Source organism: Homo sapiens, chromosome 10 (genome assembly GCF_000001405.40).
Source record: "Homo sapiens chromosome 10, GRCh38.p14 Primary Assembly".
Taxonomy (NCBI): Eukaryota; Metazoa; Chordata; class Mammalia; order Primates; family Hominidae; genus Homo; species Homo sapiens.
In genome coordinates, this window is record NC_000010.11 from 89845266 (window position 1) to 89867085 (window position 21820).

General features: G+C 40.3%; 1 long non-coding RNA gene across 1 annotated transcript in view; it reads left to right on the top strand.

Annotated features, from left to right (window-relative positions):
• The first annotated feature begins 8640 nt into the window (after positions 1 to 8640).
• The window catches only part of LINC01374 (long intergenic non-protein coding RNA 1374), a 61051-nt gene continuing 47871 nt past the window's right edge, over positions 8641 to 21820 (top strand). Inside the window, exon 1 of the long non-coding RNA NR_149080.1 lies at positions 8641 to 8742. This is a non-coding gene — a long non-coding RNA (long intergenic non-protein coding RNA 1374). The remainder of the gene's footprint in view (positions 8743 to 21820) is intronic.

Here is a 21820-nt window from a genome sequence, read left to right on the forward strand (position 1 = left end):
AATTTATCCGGGGGAGGGGACTGGTGGACGGCATCCTAAGTGAAAGGCGTAGCGTGACAAACTCCGGGAGCTTTGAGGGCAAAGTGTGATCTGGGTAGGTTTCCAGATTTAGTAAATAAAAATAGAGAACACTCAGTTCAATTTGAATTTCAGATAAACAATATTCCATAGCTTGGGAAGAGCAAGACATTCTGTGTGGCTGGAACACAGGTGGGTGTGAGAAAATGGCAGAGGCGAGTCTGGCGTGTATTGGGATCATGTTGTGAATGCTTATGAGAGAATAACCATCTTTTCTGTAGCCTCTTGCTCATATTGAAGGATAATTTGAGAATAATTATTGAATGCTTGAAAAGAAATTTAAAAAATACACACAGAAAATATGTAACCCTTGAGTCCTTAGCTCATTAACAATAAAGGTGGAATCCTCGTGTGTGGGTGGAATGATTATTAATTATTAACCATTGCATCTGAGTAATTCTTTCTTTTATCCTGATGATTTTGTTTCTAAGATGCCTTTGTCCAGGTGTTTAGTTGAGAAGGGGGAATGAGCACATTTTGCCACATATACTTCTTATTATATTCCAGCCTGAAGCAAGAATTTAAGTTATTAACAGTAATGGAATTAATAACGTGTGTGTGATCAACTAAGCAAGTCTTTGCTCTGTTTAAGTAGTTTTCCAGATGTCATCAATGCAGGTTGTCTGTATTTCATCCTCTCTTCCCTGTTTGTGGACCCTGATCTTCACTATATCATAGACATGGCTCCTGGCAAGCCAGGGAAGCCACCTGACCCAAGCTGAACCAGACAGAATTCAGTCTCATTTGTGGTTTTACTGGTAACTCAGGAGCTCATGGTAGCCATGGGTTTTTTTTTTTTTTTGCCATATGCAAAATCAAAGAAAGCCAGTCAACACTATGGAATTCACTGAAGAAGCAATTCAGTGAAGGTGGGGGAGAGTATATGCACTTGTATTAGAGGAAAAGCATGCTAGAATTAGAGAATGAAAAGTGAAGACAAGCAAAGAAGGGAGAGAGAGAGAGTGACAAGAGGGGGGTGAAAAGGAGGCAAAAGGAAGGAGGGAGGAGGAAGGGGAAAAGGAGAAGGGAGAAGGAGGGAGGAAGGCTGAGAGCCAAGCCCTACTAGTTGTGCAATCCCTGGGTTCATTACTCTCCTAAAGTGACTTGGTTGCATTCTATCTGGTTTGTGAGATGACCTTTCACCTTCTGATGAATTGCCTTTATGCTTAGGATCACTACAGTGGGCTCTGTTACTTAAAACAAGAGTACTAATTAATAAATCAGATCACTGAAGTCATATTGACCCACTGTGATTGCTATGGTTTGGTGGTGATTATGAGAAGGGTATTTACTCAGCAGGTAGAACTTGGCCATAGAACTCCTTCATGGCAAATAGGAAGAAGCATGGCTTTTGTTAAACTGAGCACATACATTGCTGAGCATAACACAAACTACCCTGGTGCATAGTTTCCCTTTTCCATCTAGAGCTTGTTCTGGATTTGTTCTGGGAAAAGCCTATGGGTTTAATTTGGAGCTGGTTTATTTCAGTCAGTTGGGGAGTTGTTTTGTGGTACTTTTAACACTACTCAAACAAATGTTTCCCAAGGTGAATTCTCTGTTCAATGAAACTAGCAGTTACACAGTGGAAAAAAGAAAGAAGGTGGTTCTGTGGTCAGGCCATGTTTGGGTTAACTGCTTTGTAGTACCTCTCAAAGCCTTTACTATGCTAGTTTGCATTGTAAATTTCTAAGAGGCAAAGAGTTGATGTAGCATTTCCTGAGTTCACTTGACCACAAAGCGGGATATGTCACTGGACTAGTGTCTCCCAGGACACACTGGGGATAAGATAGATAGCTGAGCACATATGAGTGGATGGCCACCACTCCAGTGTGCAGGACTGACAGTGAGAAGGACCTGTCCAGTAGCTGCCTCTTACACATTGACCTTGATTTTAAGGTGACAAGAAAATGATCTGACTGCCAGTGATTCTCCAATACTCTTGACATTTCTAAAGAACAGGTTATTAAAAAAACATCTAACACTAAAAGGGAAGCTTGGCTCAGTTTATATTCAGATCAAAGAGACTATGGACAAGGGATCTGTGGAGAAAATTCAGGCAGTCTGTGAACTTGAATGGGAATAAAAATTGCATCTTTATTTTCATTAACTTCAGGCTGAAATTTAGCATTTCCTTCAGTTATTAATGTAGCAACAGACCCCATAGTTTGAGCAGCACCCATTATTTGTCAGTAATAGAAATCTCAAATGTATTCACATTACATCACAGTTCCTGCAAGTTTCTCTAAATATTTATGCTTCTTGTTACTTTGAAATTATAGTTAGGCCTACCACTAGGTCTTGTTACTCTTCTTCTTATTTTTTTGGATGTGGAGATGAGGTCTTGCTATGTTGTCCAGTCTGGTCTTGAACTCCTGGCCTCAAGCAATTCTTCTGCCTCAGCCTCCTTAGTAGTTGAGTTTATAAGCAAAAGCCACCATACCTGGCCAAACAAAATGTTTTTGATGATGGCCACACATTAAACACGGCGCCTGGCCCATGATAGTGCTTAATGAATATTAACTGATGTTGTTAATCAGTTAATCACGACCATCATCATCGAACTAAGCTCCCATATTTGTTGAGTGTCTTAATTTAGACCCAACATCAGGATATGAGGCAAAGTAGGCATTTTAAAAATAAATACTAGTGAAACTAGATAGAATTATCTTCCTTGTCACTTCTTTTGGGTATTAATTATATATCAGAAAATTTCAGGGCTGGGTGTGGTAGCTCATGCCTTTAATCCCAGCACTTTGGGAGGTTGAGGCATGAGGATCACTTGAGCCCAGGAGTTTGAGACCAGCCTGGGCAACACAGTGAGACTCTATCTCTTCAAAAAAAAAAAAAAAATTAGAGAAGCATGGTGGCACATGCCTATAGTCCCAGCTGCTTAGGAAGTTAAGGTGGGAGGATCTTTTGAGCCTGGAAAGTCAAGGGTACAGCAAGCCATGATCATGCCACTGCACTCCAGCCTGGGGGACACAGTGTGGCCCTGTCTTAAAAAAAAAAAAAAGAAAGTAAAGAAAATCTCAGGGCTTTATAAAAACCATTAATTTGTTTATTAATTTATGCATTCACTTGTCAAATATTTACCTGCTAGATACTCTATCTTGGTCTATTTCTTCAGGTGACTTATGCGGGGTTTGAGTGGAGGTGCAGGGGCCAGTAAATGGGAAGAAGTCTTTATAATCTGTTTGTTTAATCTTCATCTCTCCCAGTCCTCTCTGTTTACTCCATAAAATTAAAAGAAATGCTGCCATCTGTTTCTAGCACTGTGCTCTGTGCCTCAGGATGCTTAGAGAAGCTTAAAAACAGTTCAGGTGGCAAGGCGCAGTGGCTCACACCTGTAATCCCAGCACTTTGGGAGGCCAAGGCAGGTGGATCACGAGGTCAGGAAATCAAGACCATCCTGGCCAACATGGTGAAACCCTGTTTCTATTAAGAAACACACAAATTAGCTGGGCTTGGTGGTGCGTGCCTGTAGTCCCAGCTACTCGGGAGGCTGAGGCAGGAAAATCGCTTGAACCCAGGAGGCGAAGGTTGCAGTGAGCCGAGATTGCACCACTGCCTTCCAGCCTGGTGACAGAGCGAGACTCCATCTCAAAAAAACAAAAATAAAAACAAAAACAAAACAAAAACCCAGCACAGGCACTGTTTACAGTGTGCTTTTCACTTACCTCAAGAGACAGAGGTATCCTCTCTTTCAGGTTATTTGGGGGATCTAAGTGCCTTTGGTATAATCTTCCTTGTGCTGGTTGAAAGAGAAAGTGGAGGATCAGGTTAGGTGAGAATATATTCTCCAGGGTTTAGTAGAAAATACATTCTGTAGGGTGTAGGTCCTGAAAGATATGCTCCATTCCTAACCTCTACGCCACATGCCTGTGAATGTGACCTTATTTGGAAATAGTCTTTGCAGATATAATTAAGGTAAGGATCTTGAGATGAGATCATCCTGGATTTAGGGTGAGTCCTAAATCCAATGACATTGTCATTATGACAGAAAAGAAGACAAAGGGACCTAGGGAAGGAGGTCATCTGAAGGTGGAGGCAGAAAGTAGAGTAGTGCAGCCACAAGCCAAGGAACCCCAGGAGCCATCAGAAGCTGGAAGAAGCAAGGAAGGACTCTTCCCTGGAACCTCTGGAGGGAGAGTAGTCCTGATGAAACTTTAATTTTGGACATCTGGACTCTAGAATTTGAAAAGAATAAATTTCTACTATGTTTGTGGTAATAATTAGGAAACTAGTACATTTTCCTCAGTCAGCAACGAAGAGACAATACCAGTGCTCAGCCAATCTGATGCTTTGCAAGACAAACATTCAGTCAGAAGCAGCATCATCACGTTTTCTACTGATCCAGAGTCCAGCCCAAATCCTTTTGAGCTTCTTTTACCTACTTCTTCTAGCTTTCTTACCCCTTTTTTTCTACTTTTATGGTAGAGTCAAAGGCACCAAAATGCATTCAGAGGGTTGTGTCAATGAGTCGATCTTATTGGAGTGACAATTTCTATCTGATTTGATGCTGTATAAACAAATTTCCTTCCTACTGTGACAGCTTAGGAAGCTGGAATCTGGGGGGAGATCCATGCGATGTCAAGTCAAGAGTTGGAGATGGAAATAATTCATATAAGAGAAAAGTCAGTGTATGTGTGTGTGCACCTGTGTGTGTGTGCACCTGTGTGTATGTGTGTGTGTCTAGGAAAGAGGCAGGGTGGTGGCTTAAGAACCTAAGCTGTGCTAAGCTGTCTCTGACTCCACTAGGTTATGGGGGTATTCAAGGACAGTGTTGGTATCTGGCATTTAATCTGATTTTGTGAATCCTACAGAATTTTTAATGTTAGAAAAGAGAATTTTGTTCCCAGAAAAACATGTAGTTGAGAATTCATACAAACTTTTCTGTTTTCTGGGAACATGTGCAGTGTTTAACCTACACTAAAGAAACTAGTGTGTTTCACTGGGTCCCTGAAACGTACAGGGATAGTGTTTGGAGTGATAGCCTTTTGACACAAACTTTCGTGCCTTTGTCTCTGCTCAGGGTGGTAGTGGGTGGTCACAGATGGTGGCTGACTTTCTTTAGAACTAGGGAGGGAGACCCCTTCTTTCTCTGGGCATTATTCTACTTTCACTCCGGAGAATCTCACCCCTCCTTGTTCAGATCATTTTCCCTTACTGGCAGGAGAAAGGGGACTTTGATATGCAGCAGTTCAAGAAAGGAGGGCTTTCCATGGAGGGCATATTTCTGGGTTGCTCTGCTGCATGGAGTGGTGCCTTCCTGGGAGCCATTTATAGAAATGACTGGAAACCTCTTAGGAAGGAATTTAAGATAAGAAAGGAGAGAATGGGGGAACACAAATTTGGTCCAAGGAAAATGGCTCAGTGTGAAACGGGAGGGGTGGCTTTTGCACTGCCTTCCTACTGTTCCTAGAAACTTGTGCCAGAATCTTGAGTAGTGGAGATGGAAAGAAAAATACGTTGAAGCTCTTCTGTCACCGTAGTTTCCATATGTAGGAACTCAGCTACATTCAGAGGGTCAATGCAAAGCCCACATCCCTGGGGAGCAGAGAAGGCTGGCCAAGGCCCAGAGCAGCAGACAGCATGGAGCAGGGCGGGAGCCTGCTCCACAGAAGCAGGTGGAGCAGGGAGGAGAAATCCTACTGCACTCCAGGGGCCTCCCAGGGATATTTGGGAGGTGGGGTGGGCCAGGGCAGGGCTAGATTCTGCTATTGTGGGTGGGAAGCAGATCCAGGGAATCAGGGTTTTGTTTGTCTTACCTGTTTCTGTTATGGTGACCTTGATTTTGTATCTAGGCTGGAGAGACCTGGGAAACACTGGTTACATAGGATTATAAAGCCTGTCACATCACAGGGAGGGGAACATCACACACCAGCGCCTGTTGCCGGGTGTGGGGCTAGGGGAGGGATAGCATTAGGAGAAATATCTAATGTAGATGACAGGTTGATAGGTGCAGCAAACCACCATGGCACGTGTACACCTGTGTAACAAACCTGCACGTTCTGCACGTGTATCCCAGAACTTAAAGTATAATTACAAAAAAAAAAAAAAAAAAGAAAACACCTATCACATTTACTGAAAGCCTGTCATTGCTGGTACCCATTGAAAAACAACAAGCTCACTTTAAAAAGTCAGTAAGTCAATGAAAAGAACTTATGAGACTTGTGATTTAGTGAAATTGATTAATAAAAACAATTTACATAGATGTGAATAATAAACTTGAATCATGAAATAAATATTCAGAGTTAGGTCCCATTAAGGGCATCATTTTCTTTCTTCTATTCCCATGATAAACTTGCTGTCTTATGGCCAAAAGCTGCACCTGTAGCGACAAGATGGTTTGGTCCCACCCACCTGTGCTGCCTGGAACAGCTCAGTGATGAGGATGGGTAATGCTGGTAGACCAGAGTAGACTCAGTTCAGCCTCCTTCCTAATTCTTCGAGCCAAGGTAGTGCTCCAGAGAGCTTCCAGGAAATGTGAGTCTCTGTGGCCTTCTTTACTCTCGATCTCTCTCACCCATCTCAGATCTATTAGTCAGGAGGTTTCCAATATCTAGGGACATTTCAACATCTCCACTCAGGCCTCTACTGACCCTACGGCTGCTAACTTCCTGGAGCAGCTGAGAATACTGAAGATCAAGGACTCTCTCCTGGTGGCCTTTAATTGTGAGGAAATATCCTGCCTTTTTAATCCAGTCCTGCAGATACTGAGTTCCTCTGTGCTAGGCAGAGGAACCGAGGACTCCAACACGTATACCCTTAGGGGTATTGGGAAGATAAAATTTACACTGAAATCAAAAAGGACAGAAGAAAAAAACAGGAAGAACAGTGTCATGTGATGGCTAAGAGCTTGGGCTCTGGAGTCAAAGAAATTATATTCAAATCTTAGTTCCCAAAGAAACTTCGGAAAAGGTATCTTAACTTCATTATGCCTCTAATTTCTTATGTATGAAATGGCAGTCATAACAATATGACTGGTGTCATGGCACCTGGTTGACCCCATGCTTATGTAAAGGCACTGCCAGCCCAGTGGGTCCTAGGCACTTGTAGGGACCTAGTGAAGCCCAAGGAAGGAGCTTCAGAAAAGCACAGTTTCCCTGTGGTGAGGCACTGGGGCCTGGCCCTTCACCTGCCTGTGTCTGCTCCTAGGTTGATGTGAGGATGAAAGAGCTAAGTCATGAAAAGCATCCAGACAATAAGCACAGCAAGCACAGAAAAAACTCTCAGAAATGGTGCTGTTATTATTACCAATAGCAATAAGGCCCAGACTCCTGAGGATGGACAGTAGTTCCTGTGGGGATTTACTAGCAGCAGGAGATTTAGGGGAGCAAGAGGCTACTGGAGTGGATGTACCATTGGGCAGACAAACTGTGAGATGGCCTTGAAGATGCCATCAGGACATCACCAAGTGACTGGCCCTGGAACCGTGGGAGGCAACCTTCATTAAAGGAGTATGGGTTGAGTCCTGCAGCCAGACGAGAGTGGAAGATTTTTCAGTGTGCTGGTTTAAGGGCACGTGAAGTCTGGAGAAAGCCAGGCCCAAAGCCCAGAAAGGTCAGGGGGTGTTTGGGGAATGGTAAGTAAATTCCCTCCAATCCCAAGTTGGAGCAGAGAGACAAATGCGACAGAAGGGTTGATGCAAACTGTAAGATTGAAGACAGCAGTCTTAGGAGACTTTGGTGAGGGAAAAGAAAGCTAAGAGAAGAGAAGAGAAGGGCACTCCCTAGAGGCCAACAGGGAGCACAGGAAGGAAGCTCCCTGGACAATGGGGAGACGACAGAGGTCTTCCCAAAGCAGGACTCACCAGGTGAACTATTTGATATGGGTTGGCTCTGTGTCCCCACCCAAATCTCATCTCGAATTGTAATCCCCATGTATAGAGGGAGGGACCGGGCGGGAGATGATTGGATCATGGGGGTGGTTTCCCCCATGCTGTTCTCCTGACAGGGAGTTCTCATAAGAAATGGTTTTAAAAAGTCAGTTTCCCTTGAGCTCTTTCTCCTGCTGCCTTGTGAGGAAGGTGCCTGCTTTCCCTTCACCTTCTGCCATGATTGCAAGTGTCCTGTATCCTCCCGGCCATGTGGAACTGTGAGTCAATTAAATCTATTTTCTTTATAAATCACCCAGTCTCAGGTATTCTTTAGAACAGTGTGACATCGGACTAAAACACTATTTCTCCCAGCCCGAATGCTGGAGTGGGTGTATATGCAACTGATATCCCCAGTAACTGCGGGCTCCCTTTGGCTGCTAAGTGAATGGCAGGGAGGCTTGAGGCTGCGCTGTTCACTTTAGGAAACAGCGAGGTGTCTGAGCTAGGGAATCCTAAAAAGGATTACTGTCACAAATTGAATTGAAATTTAAGAAACACACAAACTGAAACAAGACCTTTTAATTTGTAGCCCCAAACAGGCAAACTGCTCTGTTGAAACAATTAAGCAGCTGTGATGAGGAGGGGCAGCAATACACAGCAGCTGCCCGGATTTCCAAGGAGGTTACAGAGAGTTCACGGACTTAGAACCACTCTAGCTCACCTGGCTCCACGTGGCGACTCAAGGCTCTGCACCCTTCCGGCCGCTAAGACAAGGCCTCAGACACGGGGTTCTGCCCTGTCTACTGTCAGCAGAGCCAAGCTGAGAAGGATGGGCACGAGAAAAGGTAATTGGCTTTAAAGGGTGGGGATGCAGGTGACCTTCGCAAGGGCAGCTTTTGCTGACCCTATAGGAGCAGGGGACGCACTCACCAGGCCGCGCCACTAGGGGACGCGGGGCAGACTCCCGGCCCTTCCTGAGCCCGGCTGTGGTGGGCGGCCCGCCCTTCACCCTCACAAGGTAGGGCTCTCACCAACACCATTTCCATTGTGTTTTTTATTTGTAAAGGAATACACGGAAAATTGGGTAACTACAGAAAACCACAAAGAAAAAAAAATTCCAGTCCCTAAGCGCTGGAATTCCTCTAACAGCCTTTTGGTGTGTAATGAGTGTTTCATCTTTTAATTTTTTAATTAAAAAAAATGTTTTTTAGAGTAACAGCTGGTATCAGAATTCCTTTTTGGGTGAAATTCCTTTTTTTCCCCCCTTTTTTCTTTTTGATAAAGATAAGCTGATACATTTTCTGGCTTTAGGATGGGACAATATACTGTCCCTTGGTACAGGAAGAAAAGGAGGGATGGGGCTGGGTGTCCTCTGGAAAAAGGGAGTCAGAGGTGGCTGGTGACACAGAGGAGGCATTTGTGGCATTTCATGGTGGATATTTTTGGGGTGCTGTGAAGAGGCATTAATGTTGAGTCTAGGTCAATGCAAGTAGCATAAATGTGTCAAGGAAGCAGGAGCTCAGGAGGAGGTGAGCACTGAAACCCGTGGGAAACTGCAGAAATCTTGGGGCAGGGTTTGGGATTTCCTAAACTGTGGCGAAATTATGGGAGTGAATCCACTATACCTGGAAATTTGGGGAAGGGAAGTCATCCCCCTGGGTTGTAAGTGTTCATGCTATAAATTTATTATTGGATTCATATTGGTATTTTATATATAAACTGCATATATATATATGCAATTTTTATCGTGTTATAATCTTTGCTGTATTTATGTATGTGTGTGTATATATATATATATTTCTTTTTTTTATCTTTTCTTCTTCTTTTCTTTCTTTCTTTCTTTTTTTTTTTTTGAGACTGGGTCTCTTGCTTTATTGCCCAGGCTAGAGTACAGTGGTGTGATCACAGCTCATGGCAGCCTCGACGTCCTTAGCTCAAGTGATCCTCCCACCTCCACCCCCCAGAGTAGCTGGGACTACGGGTGGACACCACTATGCCAGACTAATTTTTAATTTTTTTTTTTTTGTAGAGATGTGGTCTCATTATGTTACCCAGGCTAGTTCCTTATATTCTCAGAGAACATATGCATGTGCGTATATGTAAAAATATGTATGAAATTAAAAATACTTACTTAAACATTGTAATATTTTGTCATTTAGATGAAATGCTAATCCCTAAATTTGGATGTTGAGAGTGTTTCCATGTAAGTTACTATCAAAGAAAACTTCCCTTACCTGTTTTGAATTCAGGGGGACTGAACATTCACTTCAAAAATAACTTCCAGGCACATCGTTGACTGTTCTCGCATTGTGCTGGGCTTTTTAGTTGTGTGTTTCCATTTCCTCCATTACAAAGGGAACTCCATGAACTCAAGACACTTCTTATTTCATCTTCGCAGCATAGTGTCAAACATCTTATATGAGTTCAGTGCGTGTTTTTAAATAAACACGAGATTTTGAGTCAATGGGCAGACATATGCACCTGGTGAGGCAGTATTCTAAGCTGACAGTTAACTCTACACCCCACACTGCTCAGGGGAGCCCCGAGGGAGGGCTGTGTTCATGGTTCCTGCATCCAGGTAGCTGGATTTACACAGATTATTTTCTTGTTTGACACCTAATGGGTTTTTCCAATAATATTTTGTATTGCCCATAGTTCTGTTTTCTGAAGCTGAAAGTGAGTATGGGGAGGAGTGGAGGAGATGGGAGAAGGAAGGAGAAGGATCAAGCTCAAGCTGCCCACTGGCCTGCCTTGATATCCTATTATTATTTCAACTTTAGCAAGGTAGACACTTTAAGAATCAAATTTCAGTTCCAAAAAGAACGCTAGAGAAAAATGTGAGAACAAATACTTATGTCTTCCTGTTTTGAATTTGAATGGATACACAGTTTCACCTAGACTTTGAGTTTGTTGGCTTTGTTATTTCTAACATTTCAGATACCTGTAGATTTGAGCAGTTAACTGAAAAAAAGCCTCCTTTTTATTGGCAGTTGAGAAGAGAACTATCTTCCAGAACTAACAGATTCTTTGGGAAATAAGTGTTTCCTTTGCTTTTTTAAAAAGCAAATGTCTTCTGCTTTCTAATGTCTTCTGTTAAGAAAAGGTGAGTCCTGGTATATGTGTCAGGGCAGTCTCAATGGCAAGCACAATAAATGGAATGGCCCTAGGCAAAGTAATTCCTTTCTGTCTTCCTGGCCGACTTGCTGAGGATAATGCAATATATACAGTAAGCTCAGAGGAAAGGGAAACTACAGGTGCTTTTCAGAAATTTTCTTTCATCCCAAGTTGGCCTTTTCCAATTTTTTTTTTCTCTTTCACCTTTTAATGACTTTAACAAAATTTCAGTGAGTTAAGATACTCAAGACCAAATCAAAAGCATGGGCTCTTATACTTTCAACAAAATAAAAATGCAAACGTCAAGAACTCAGGAATAAATGATGTCTTCAACACAAACACATGTTCATCAGAGTACCTTATCAGATTAGCTCCGTGTGTCTTAGACATACTACCCACCCTATGAAGGAGTTTCCCGGATCATGCTTTGATAGGTGACTCAGGGTTTCTTCTCATATCTGCTTCCAACTTATCTCTCTAGCTCCAAACAGTTACATGCATCATGAAGTTGAGCCAAATGGAAGGATCTCTGGTCCCGAAATAAAGTCGCCATCCTTATTTTTGTATTGCTGTGTAAGTCTTTGGAAATCTCCAGCAGTGCTCCCGTCTTTAAGAATATTCCAGGCATTCCTCAATGAGTTCTTGAGATGGGCCTCTGCAGCAGTCTTCTAGACATTCATGCCTCCAAGAATTTCTTATGTGCACTTTTCATTTAAATCCTTACAACTCTGCACCATTTAATAAACCCTAGCAGGCGTTTTGCCACCAAAACTTTGTTTTCAATTTTAGTTTAAGCTGTTTTAAAATTTTATTCTTGGCCAACATTTTTGGGTTTCAGAACATCTGGATGAAATGTAATAAAGAGTCAGCTAATCTTTCCCACGTTGGCCCACCTAGTGCCAAAGAAGTCTGAAGTTTTTTCATTTTCCTAGATTTAGTTAGAATTTTATATTTTTCTCTTTAGTGTGAATTCATTTATCTTGTTTTCATTGCTCCAGTCAAACCTGTATCTTAGCAACTATTTTAGAAGCATTTTTCAGTAGAAGATGTTTTTGTGGGAAGGTAGAGATAACTATATCTTTCTCAGAGCATAAAAAATGTATAGCTACAGGCTCACTCACATGGTGATCATAAATTTCATGGCAGAAACTCACTGACATCTCCATAATATTATTAATCATGATAAAGTAGAAGTCAGGATAAGGCAAGTCTCTTCTAAGGATGCTCAGGTTATGGTTTACTGAAAAAATCCCACTGCATTATATGGCAGTCTCAGCCTTGGAAGCCTCGTGTCTAAATATTGCCTTATATTACAAGGAGCTTTCCACAAATGCAGGACTGTGGCATGAAAAACATTCTGAAAAATAACAACTCCCTTAACTTAAAAAAGAACCTCATCTACATTGTATGTGTCATGTAAACACAGACTTCCTTTGATAGTTACATGTCTGATTATTCTTATTAGTGCTAAATCATAGCTCTCTCAATTTCTTCCTTAGATTTAATGCTAATTTATTCCTCTTCAAGCTGTCAGCTTTGTCCTTTTCTGTCTTCAGTGAAACTGGCTCATGGCTAACTACCATTGTTTATGTGGTATTCTTTTATGGCTTGAAAATTTATAGTCACTTTCTACTCCTCTAACTGAAACAATTCCTATTCTTTTAATCTCTCCTTGGAAAGCCTGTTTAATTTCTGTTTTTGTTGCTCTCCTGTGGATCTTCTTTGAGTTCTCTAGATTTTGATACACTTTGTGTTGAACAGAGAAGTTTAGCAAAGATTGTTTCTCATTGTTCCAAGGTAGATTACTTGATGATACCCTGATGGGGAACTGATAGGTGACACTGCATGGGAAATTCCTTTGAGAACCCTAAAGTACCCCCAAATGAAAGAGAAGATTACTGCTTGGTTGTACATCTTGGGCAGTGTCTTTATTTCTGGAAGTAGAGTTTAAATATTTTTTTCTCTGTTCGGTCACTCATTCATTTTTTCAACAATAACCTTTTTTTTTTTTAATCAAATTTGAAGTGCTGGACAAAGCATTGAAAGTTTAGCAATATCTGTCTGTGGTAGATTTACTTGCTATTTCAGTTTTTATTCTCTAGTAAGAAAAATATGAATATAAGGAAATGTCCTCAGTTTGATAAAAAGCATCTATGAAAAGCCTACATCTGCCATTGTACTTAATAATGAATAGCTGAACACTTTTCCACTGAGACTGGGGACAAGGCAAGGATGTCTGCTCTCATCATCTTTTTTTCCTATACTGTCCTGGAGGTCTTAGCCAGTGTAATAAGGCACAAAAGGCATTCAGATTGGAAAAGAAGTAAAACTGGCTTTGTTCACATTTGGTGTGATTGTCTGCAATGAAAATTTTAAGGAATCTACCGAAAGTGAAAAAAAAAGTGAAAAATTGAACCAGTAAGTGAATGTAGCTAGGCCTCATGGTTCAAGATCATGATGCGTTTAATTGTACTTCTATATACTAGCAATGAACAACTGGAAAATAACCTTTAAAAACCACAACATTTGTAACAGCATAAAAAAGTACTGTAGGACAAATTTAATGAGAACTATGTAAGAGCCTTCTGCTAAAAAGTAAGAAATATTATAGAAAGACTTAAAGAAGGCCTAAATAAATGAAGAGATATTATAGCATGTTCATGAATCATAAAACACAATATTATTAAGATGTCCATTCTCCCCAAATTGATCAATGCAATCTCAATCAAAATATCAAGACTTTTCTTTTTAGAAATTAACAAGCTGACCTAAAAAATTATGTAGATATACAAAAGACCTAGCATAAACAAATTTTGAAAGATAACAGAAAAAAGTTATTTTAAAATTTACCATAAAGCTTACAGTAATCAAGACACTGTAATATTGATGTAGGGATAGGCAAATAAATCATGGAATGGATAGAAACCAGAAATAGACCTACATTAATATAGTCAACTAATTTCTGAATTACCAAAAGAATTAAATGGAAAATAGTGCTGGAAGAAATGACTATCTTTCAAGAAAACCAAAATGAACCTTGCTTCCTACCTCACTTATACCATCCACAAAAATTATTTCAAAATGGATCATAGGCCTAAATATGAAAACCAAATCTTTAAATTTCTAGAAGTAAACATAGGAGAAAATCTTCATGACTTGTGTTGACAAATATTTTCTAGAAAAGAAAAGTCACAGAAAGCAGAATCCAAAAAGGGCAAAATTGATAAAAATTGGACTTCAGAAAAATTTAAAACTTCTCTTTATCAAAAGACATCAATAATAGGAATAGATATGTCATTAACAGGGGAGAAAATAGTAAAAAATATTTAGTAAAAATCTTCTTTTGGGAATATATAAAGAACTTATACTTCTCAATATTAAAAAAAATAAAAACAACCCTCCCAAACTGCAAAAGTCTTGGCCAGAAAATTCATAGTAAAAAATATACAATGACCCATAAACACATGAAAAATTCTCAAATTATTAATCATCAAGGAAATAAAAATTAAAACCCCAATGGGGTATCACTACACATGTAATAGAGTGGCAGAAAGGAGAAACTGATGATGCCAATGTAATTAAGAGTGTGAAGCAACTGAAACTCTCAGTGTTGCTTGTGGAACCTTGAAATTGCATAACCTCCTTGGAAAAAGTGTGTCAGTTTCTTATAAAGTTAAGCATATACCTATCCTTCGGCTCTCCAAGGCATTTACCAAAATAAATGGGAGCACAAGGCAACAGAAATGCTTACAGAAGAATGTTTATAGTTGCTTTATTCATACTAAAAAAGTGTTAGCAACACAAATATTCTTCAAACAATAAGAAGAAATTGCAATATAATCATACAATGGAGTACTATTCAGCAATAAAAATGAAGGAGCTATTGATACATGTGACAACATAGACCTAGTGATAAATGTTTAACTAGCTTTAAATATATTGTTGATAACTTTAAAAAGTCCTTATTTGTAGTGTTTGCTGATTTCCATGGTGTAGTAACTCACACTGGCCCATTTCAACCTACCTATGAAACGTGGAATTGGAAAGAGGTGCTCAGTAGCATACCACTATACAGATAAAATGGTTGTAAGTAACTTCAAGAGAATATGTAATAAAATGTAGGAAATACTTAGGAAATAATGTCCTTTGATTATTATTTTTGTTTTTAAAATGTCATTTAATTGTAAGTTTATATAATTTAATTTTTGATGATAGTTTTTTTAACAACCAGCTCTCAGAGTTTCTGAAAATTTAGCATTCAGCTCTTGTGAACTGGTATGAGCCACTGGAAGAGTCTCACATAGTATGCTAAGTAAAAAAAAATGGTCACTAAAGAGTAAATACTGTATGATTTTGTTTACATGAAGCTCTATAGCAGGCAAAATGAATCTGTGGAGACAGAAATGCAGACTATTAGTTGTCTTTTGGCTTAGGGTAGGGGATGAGACCAGTTGGGGAGAGATATGAGGAAACTTTCTGGGGTGTTGGAAAAGTTTTGTCTTGATAGAGATGTATGTTTTTTAGCAGATGTTTTTGAGCTGCACACTTAAGTTTAGTGGATTTCTCTGCATGTAAACTCTATCCGAATAACAAAGAAAAGGAAAGTGAAACCAGCCATAGCAACAATAAGTTAATGAAACGGGGCCAATGTGTACACACACACACACACACACACACACACACACACACACACACACACAGACACACACTATCAGGCAAGCCAAAAGGGAAAACTGATCATGAGCAAAGAATATTGAGGTGTGAAAAAGTCCAAAATATTTGGTAAATCCTATTGGTTCTGTATGTCTGGAGCATAAGGTTTACTGAAGAGATGGCTAGAAAGGTAGGTTAGGGCCTGATCAGCAATAAATTTACATAGTGATCCATGATTGGGCCCCTGCTATCATGGTAAAGGACTAGATAGGAAATATGTTAGGCTTTGCAGGTCACATACAGACTCTGTCACATATTCTTTTTCTTTTTTCTCCTCCTCCTCTTCCTCTTCTTCCTTCTCCTTCCCCTTCTCCTTCTCTCTCTCCTTTTCCCTACTCCTCCTCTTCCCCCTCCTCCTCCTCTTCCCTCTCCTCTTCCTCTTCTTCCTCCTCCTCCTCCTCTTCCACTCCTCCTCCTCCTCTTCTCCCTCTTCCTCCTCCTCTTCCCCCTCCTCCTCCTCTTCCCCCTCCTCCTCCTTTTCCTCCTCTTCCTCCTTCCTCCTCCTCCTCCCCCTCCTTCTTCTTTCTTCTTCTGCCTTTCTTTTTTTCTTCTTTTTCCTCTTCTTCACAACTCTTTAAAAATATAAAGGCTATACTTAGTTCAAGGGCTATAGAGGAACGGTGGGCCAGATTTGGTCTGCACACTGCAGTTTGCCGACCCCTGTGCTATACTAAGCACTCTTGATGTATAAAAGAGGTCCCTCTAACCAGAACCAATACACAAGGGCTACAAGAGATATTTGGTGTGTTACAAACTGTTTTGAGAGCACACAGAAGATGAGAGTGACTCATTCCTCCTGGGGGATGTCTTCTCAGAAGAGGTGGCATTTGTGTTGGGTTTTGGAGGATGAGAAACAGTTCACAGGGAGAAAAGCAAGTTATAGAAAGAGCTGTGCCTAGCAAGAGTAAGGCTCTGGCATTTGGTAGTCATGTTATGTGGGGTAATGCTTGGCTGGTTCTGAGTTTATCTTTAGGATAGGTATTATTATAGCTATCCTTTTAACTTGGGAAGAAGTGCAGTGAAAGTTAAAAAAACGAAACAGAGCCCTACTTGAAAAAGTTTAAAGTGCCTTAAAATGTGATTGTTACCTCAGACTCTTCATCTTGCATGAGCTGGGATGACTCATGCCACTTATGTGTGCACAGTAATTGCTGAGATTACTGGGCTTATGGCAGGGTGTTTGGGGCCTAATTCTCAGCTCTCAAGAGGGGATGAAAGTGAGTCAGGAACAGACTTTGACTCCTTTTTAATTGTTATGTGAGTCATTTGCATATTAATCTAAAGCCTAATTTGTTCAGCTCCCTGCTTCTTAAAAGTACATGCCAAATGACTGTTTGGTGCTTTTTAGGGACAGTATCAGGGTCTGTTCCCAGGCATTGGGAGTTGAGAGAGGGAAAAGTTGAAATAGGACAAAATATAAACAACTAAGATAGAGTTTTTTTTCAATAGGCTGGAGGACCTCGTAGTAGCATCTCTGGGTGTGCTGTCCCCTTATCATTTCACAATGCCTGACATTCCAACACAATGGATTCAAGTCCTTCTTTTTAATTTTTATTTATTTGTTTAATTTCAATAGTTTTGGGGGTACAGGTGGCTTTTGGTTACGTGGATAAGTTCTTTAGTGATGATTTCTGAGGTTTTTCATGCACCCATCACCTGAGCAGTGAACACTGTACCCAATATGTAGTCTTTTATCCCTCACCCTCCTCCATCCTTCCCTGCCAAATCCTCAAAGTCCATTATATCCTTCTTATGCCATTGCCTCCTCATAGCTTAGCTCCCACTTTTAAGTGAGAACATATGGTATTTGGTTTTCCATTCCTGAGTTACATTACTTGGAATAAGGGCCTTCAACTCCATCCAAGTTGCTGCAAAGGCCATAGTTCCATTCAATTTTAAGGCTGAGTAGTATTCCATGGTGCATATATACCACATTTGTTTATCCACTCATTGGTTGATGGGCATTTACATTGGGTCCATATTTTGCAATTGCGAGTTATGCTGCTGTAAACATGTGTGTGCATGTGTCTTTTTCATATAATGACTTCTTTTCCTTTGGGTAGATATCCAGTAGTGGGACTGCTGGGTCGAATGGCAGCTCTACTTTCATTTCCTTAAGGAATCTCCATACTATTTTCCATAGTGGTTATACTCATTACATTCCCACCAGCAGTGTGAAAGTGTTCCCTTTTCTCTGCATCCATGCCAATATCTATTATTTTTTGATATCTAAATTATGACTATTCTTGCAGGTGTAAGGTGGTATCTCATTGTGGTTTTAATTTGTCTTTCCCTGATAATTAGTGATGTTGAGCATTTTTTCATATTTTTCTTGGCCATTTGTATATCTTCTTTTGAGAATTGTCTACTCATGTCCTTTGCCCACTATTTGATGGGATTATTATTATTTTTTCTTGCAGATTTGTTTGAGTTCCTTGTAGGTTCTGGATATTAGTTCTTAGTTAGATATATAGTTTGCAAATGTTTTCTCCTACTCTGTGGATTGTTTTTTTCACTCTGCTGGTTATTTCTTTTGCTGTGCAGAAGGCTTTTAAATCAAGTCGTTCTTTAAAATGAAAATAGCTTTTGAGGGGAAAGGGGTGGGAAGTGGGACACCATACACTAGTTTTTGGTCAGAAAAATGATTTAGTGTATCAGTTCCAGTAAACAATGATGGTGTAGACATTGGATACTGAGCAGATTACCTGAGTCCAAATTCTTTGTGCAAATTCTTTAGCCTTTATGTTTCTCCATTTATTATACTGACATGAGGATAATGATGATGCTATCTAGTAGTTGCCATTAGGATGTAATGCACAACAATATGTCAGGAACATAGTGTAGTGCCTGCCTGGTAGTAATAAATGTTAGCTATTATTATTATTTCTCATTAATGTCAAGTGGCAATGGAGGGATAATTTTATAGCTGGAGCTGAGAGTGGCGAGAGGGAAAAGTTGAGATAGGACTAAATATAAACATCTAAGTTACAGTTTTTGTGTTTTTTTTCCCACAGGCTAGACCTAGCATCACTGGGCATGCTATTTCTTACTGTGTGCCAGTGTTTCAGACCAGAATGATAGATGCCTCCTTCACCCCTCTCTGGACTAATGGGCGATAAAGATTTTGTAATGAGACATGGAGAGATTGTTCTGTTTCCTACCTACTGCATCTGGTGTTTGCTTAGTTGACTGTCTTTTTTTCTCCAGGCAGTAAGTTACTTGAGGACACGGACTTTGTTGTATCAATCTTTTAAATATTACCACTAGCACAGAACCACTGAGAATATATTTATTTCTAAATAAAATATTCCTTGAATGAACAAATAAATAAATCTTCATATTTAATTCTTGAGGAAATCAGTTGTCTATATGTGTAGGCAGATATATTTAGATATTTATGTTCACAGCTAAATTTTTAAATAATCAAGATGATGCTAAATTCTATGTGCAAACTTGAGCAGATTCCAGAAATACTTACTCTGTTACTGGTCAGTGAAATTCACTTCTCCTTCAATTCTAGAGAAAACAAAAATCCCAAGCAAAATGATACAAGCCATTTAAACTCTCAAAAGTCTCAAAAAGTAGAAATGTTACCCACTGGAGCATAAGATGAACCAATTGAGGATGAGGATTTGAGAAATAAAATGTTTCATTTTTATCGACAGCGAGCCAGTATGATATTAAGACAAAAGACAGCCCTTGATGAAAGAGGCAGTCAATTCTATCTTTGAGAATTCAGTTTTAAAAAAACCAGATTAACTGGTGATTTTCCTGAAGTGACCTGTCAATTTGTTCCGATAGGTTAATTTGGTAGAATCAGCCTCAGATTGGTTTTTCAGCGTGTACCTTAATTGTATTACTTTTCAGCAAAATATTTCTGTCAATCAGAAAATGTTTTTAGAATTAACCTGCTTGCAACGCTGAGGTCAAGGAGAGCGGATCCCAAGGACAGCAGGGATCTCTATATATTGTGCACTAGGGAGAGAGCACCCTATGTGGAAATGTGGGGCTTGAAAATTCAGGGACCATGTTGGGCAGTAAGTTCATATTGATATATTTTCTTTTAGGAGAAGTCCTGGTACATCTGGAAGTGTAAAAAGTCATCAGTTCTAGTCTTGGCTCCCCCAGTTTCTTTATTTTGAAGGTTTATGACCTGAGGCAAGACACATCTTCCTATATCACTTTCCTTGACTAGAAAGTGTAAGAGCTGACACGGGAGACCTTATTTAGCCCCAACCTTATGTGAGTATACAAATTATACTCCCAAATCCGTTCCTGAGACATTGGGAGCTTTTAATGGTTTCAGGGATGTTTACAAAGTCAGAGCTATTTAATGTTTTCAGGAGCAGAGCTGTTTCCAATCCAGGGGCTATCTAAGGTGCTGTATAAAACATCTAGCCTTGGGGATGGGGGAGCAGCCAGGAGACTCGGTAAAGATGCATGAGGGTAGATTAGAAGTCTTTCCCCTAGCTGTGGTGGGCCCATTCTGAGGTGACTATGTTAATGTTTATGCTGAGGAAAACCTATACCCAGAAGATAGTGAGAAGCAGGGAATGTTTTTTTTTTGTGTGTGGGGGGAGGGGGCTGAGTGGTAGAAGACTCTGGAAAGATTTCTGCTTGAGTGAAAGAGAGATACACAGATAGATCTCAGCCTGGGCCATAAGCACCTATTCAGTACCTAGTTTGTCATCAACACTCTGGATATATTTGATATCTGTCTAGAACAGATGAGGTTCCTGCTTTCATGGAGCCTGTACCCTGGGACGTGCAAAGGACCATGGGAGCACATAGGAGGGACATCTAACACAGGTTTAGGGAGCTTGGGAAGTTTTCTAGAGAAAGAGATGTTTAAGCAGAAACTAAAAATCATACAGGTAAGGAAAGTGAAGGAAATGTTTAAGGCAGTGCAACCAACATGCACAAAGGCCTGGAGGTGAGAGACAGCAGGACATGTTCAAGGATCTGAAAGTAGTTCAATATGGCTGAGGGTGGGAAAGGGGCAGAGAGGGAATGGGGGAGAGACCACTGAAGTGAGATTCTAGAGGCCTTCTCTAAGCCATGTGAAGGAATTTGGTCTTTAATTTAAATGCAGTGGGAGCTTCTGAGTGACTTCAAGCAGAACAGTGACCTGATCAGATGTGTGTTTAGAAAGATCCTCCTAGCTATAGAGTGGAGAAAGGGTTTTGGGGGTGGGAGGCAGGGGAAGTCTAGAGATGGGGAAAGGTAGGAGAGAGGAGTAGAAACTTTTGGAATCTAGGTGAAAGAGAATAGTGGTTTGGATTATGATGGTGGCATGAGATTGGAGAGAAGTGATAGATTCAAGAAATGTTTAGGAGGTAGACTAGGCAGAATTCAATGAATCATGTGATGTGAAAAGTAAGGGAAGGAAAATAATTCAGGATGGTGTCCAAAGTCTCTGTTTTGGACATCTGGGTGATGATGTTCCATTCTTTCTGATTTGTACGTGACATTGCAGTGGATGTGGCTGCCTGCTCTATGCTGGCTGTCAGAAACTCCAGCCCTAGACCTCTCACCTGGCTTCCTGTCCTCCCTTCTTCATCTTCATTGGGAAAGTGCTTTTGTGGGAAGGGTAGTGAAGCCAACCTGGCTTTCAAAGGCTGTAAGGTTGTTAGAGAAAGGCCATCCATTTTGACCTACTTCTCCCTCTGGGACATGATAAACGCTATTGCTACAAGAGGTTTTTTTTTTTTGTTTTTTTTGTTTTTTTTGATAAAAATCTTTCTAGAGATGATGAATCCCCATGGGAACTGGACCACTGAAGCAGTCTCTTATTTGGTTTTCTCACTTTTTTTCAAGCAATCAGCTTGTTGCCAGAGGGCTCTCCTCAAGTCACTCTGTTTTATGGTCTCCATTAGTTCACATTTCTGTTTTTAGCAAAATATCCTATAAATACCTCGGGGGTGGGAGTCAAAGAGGTTAAAGATGGATCTTTCACCGGCAATAATTCTTTTTTTTTTTAACTTTTTAAGTTTAAATTATCATGGGTACATAGTAGGTGTATATGTATATAGGTTACATGAGATATTTTGATCCAGGCATCCAATGCATAATAATCACATCAGGGTAAATAGAGTA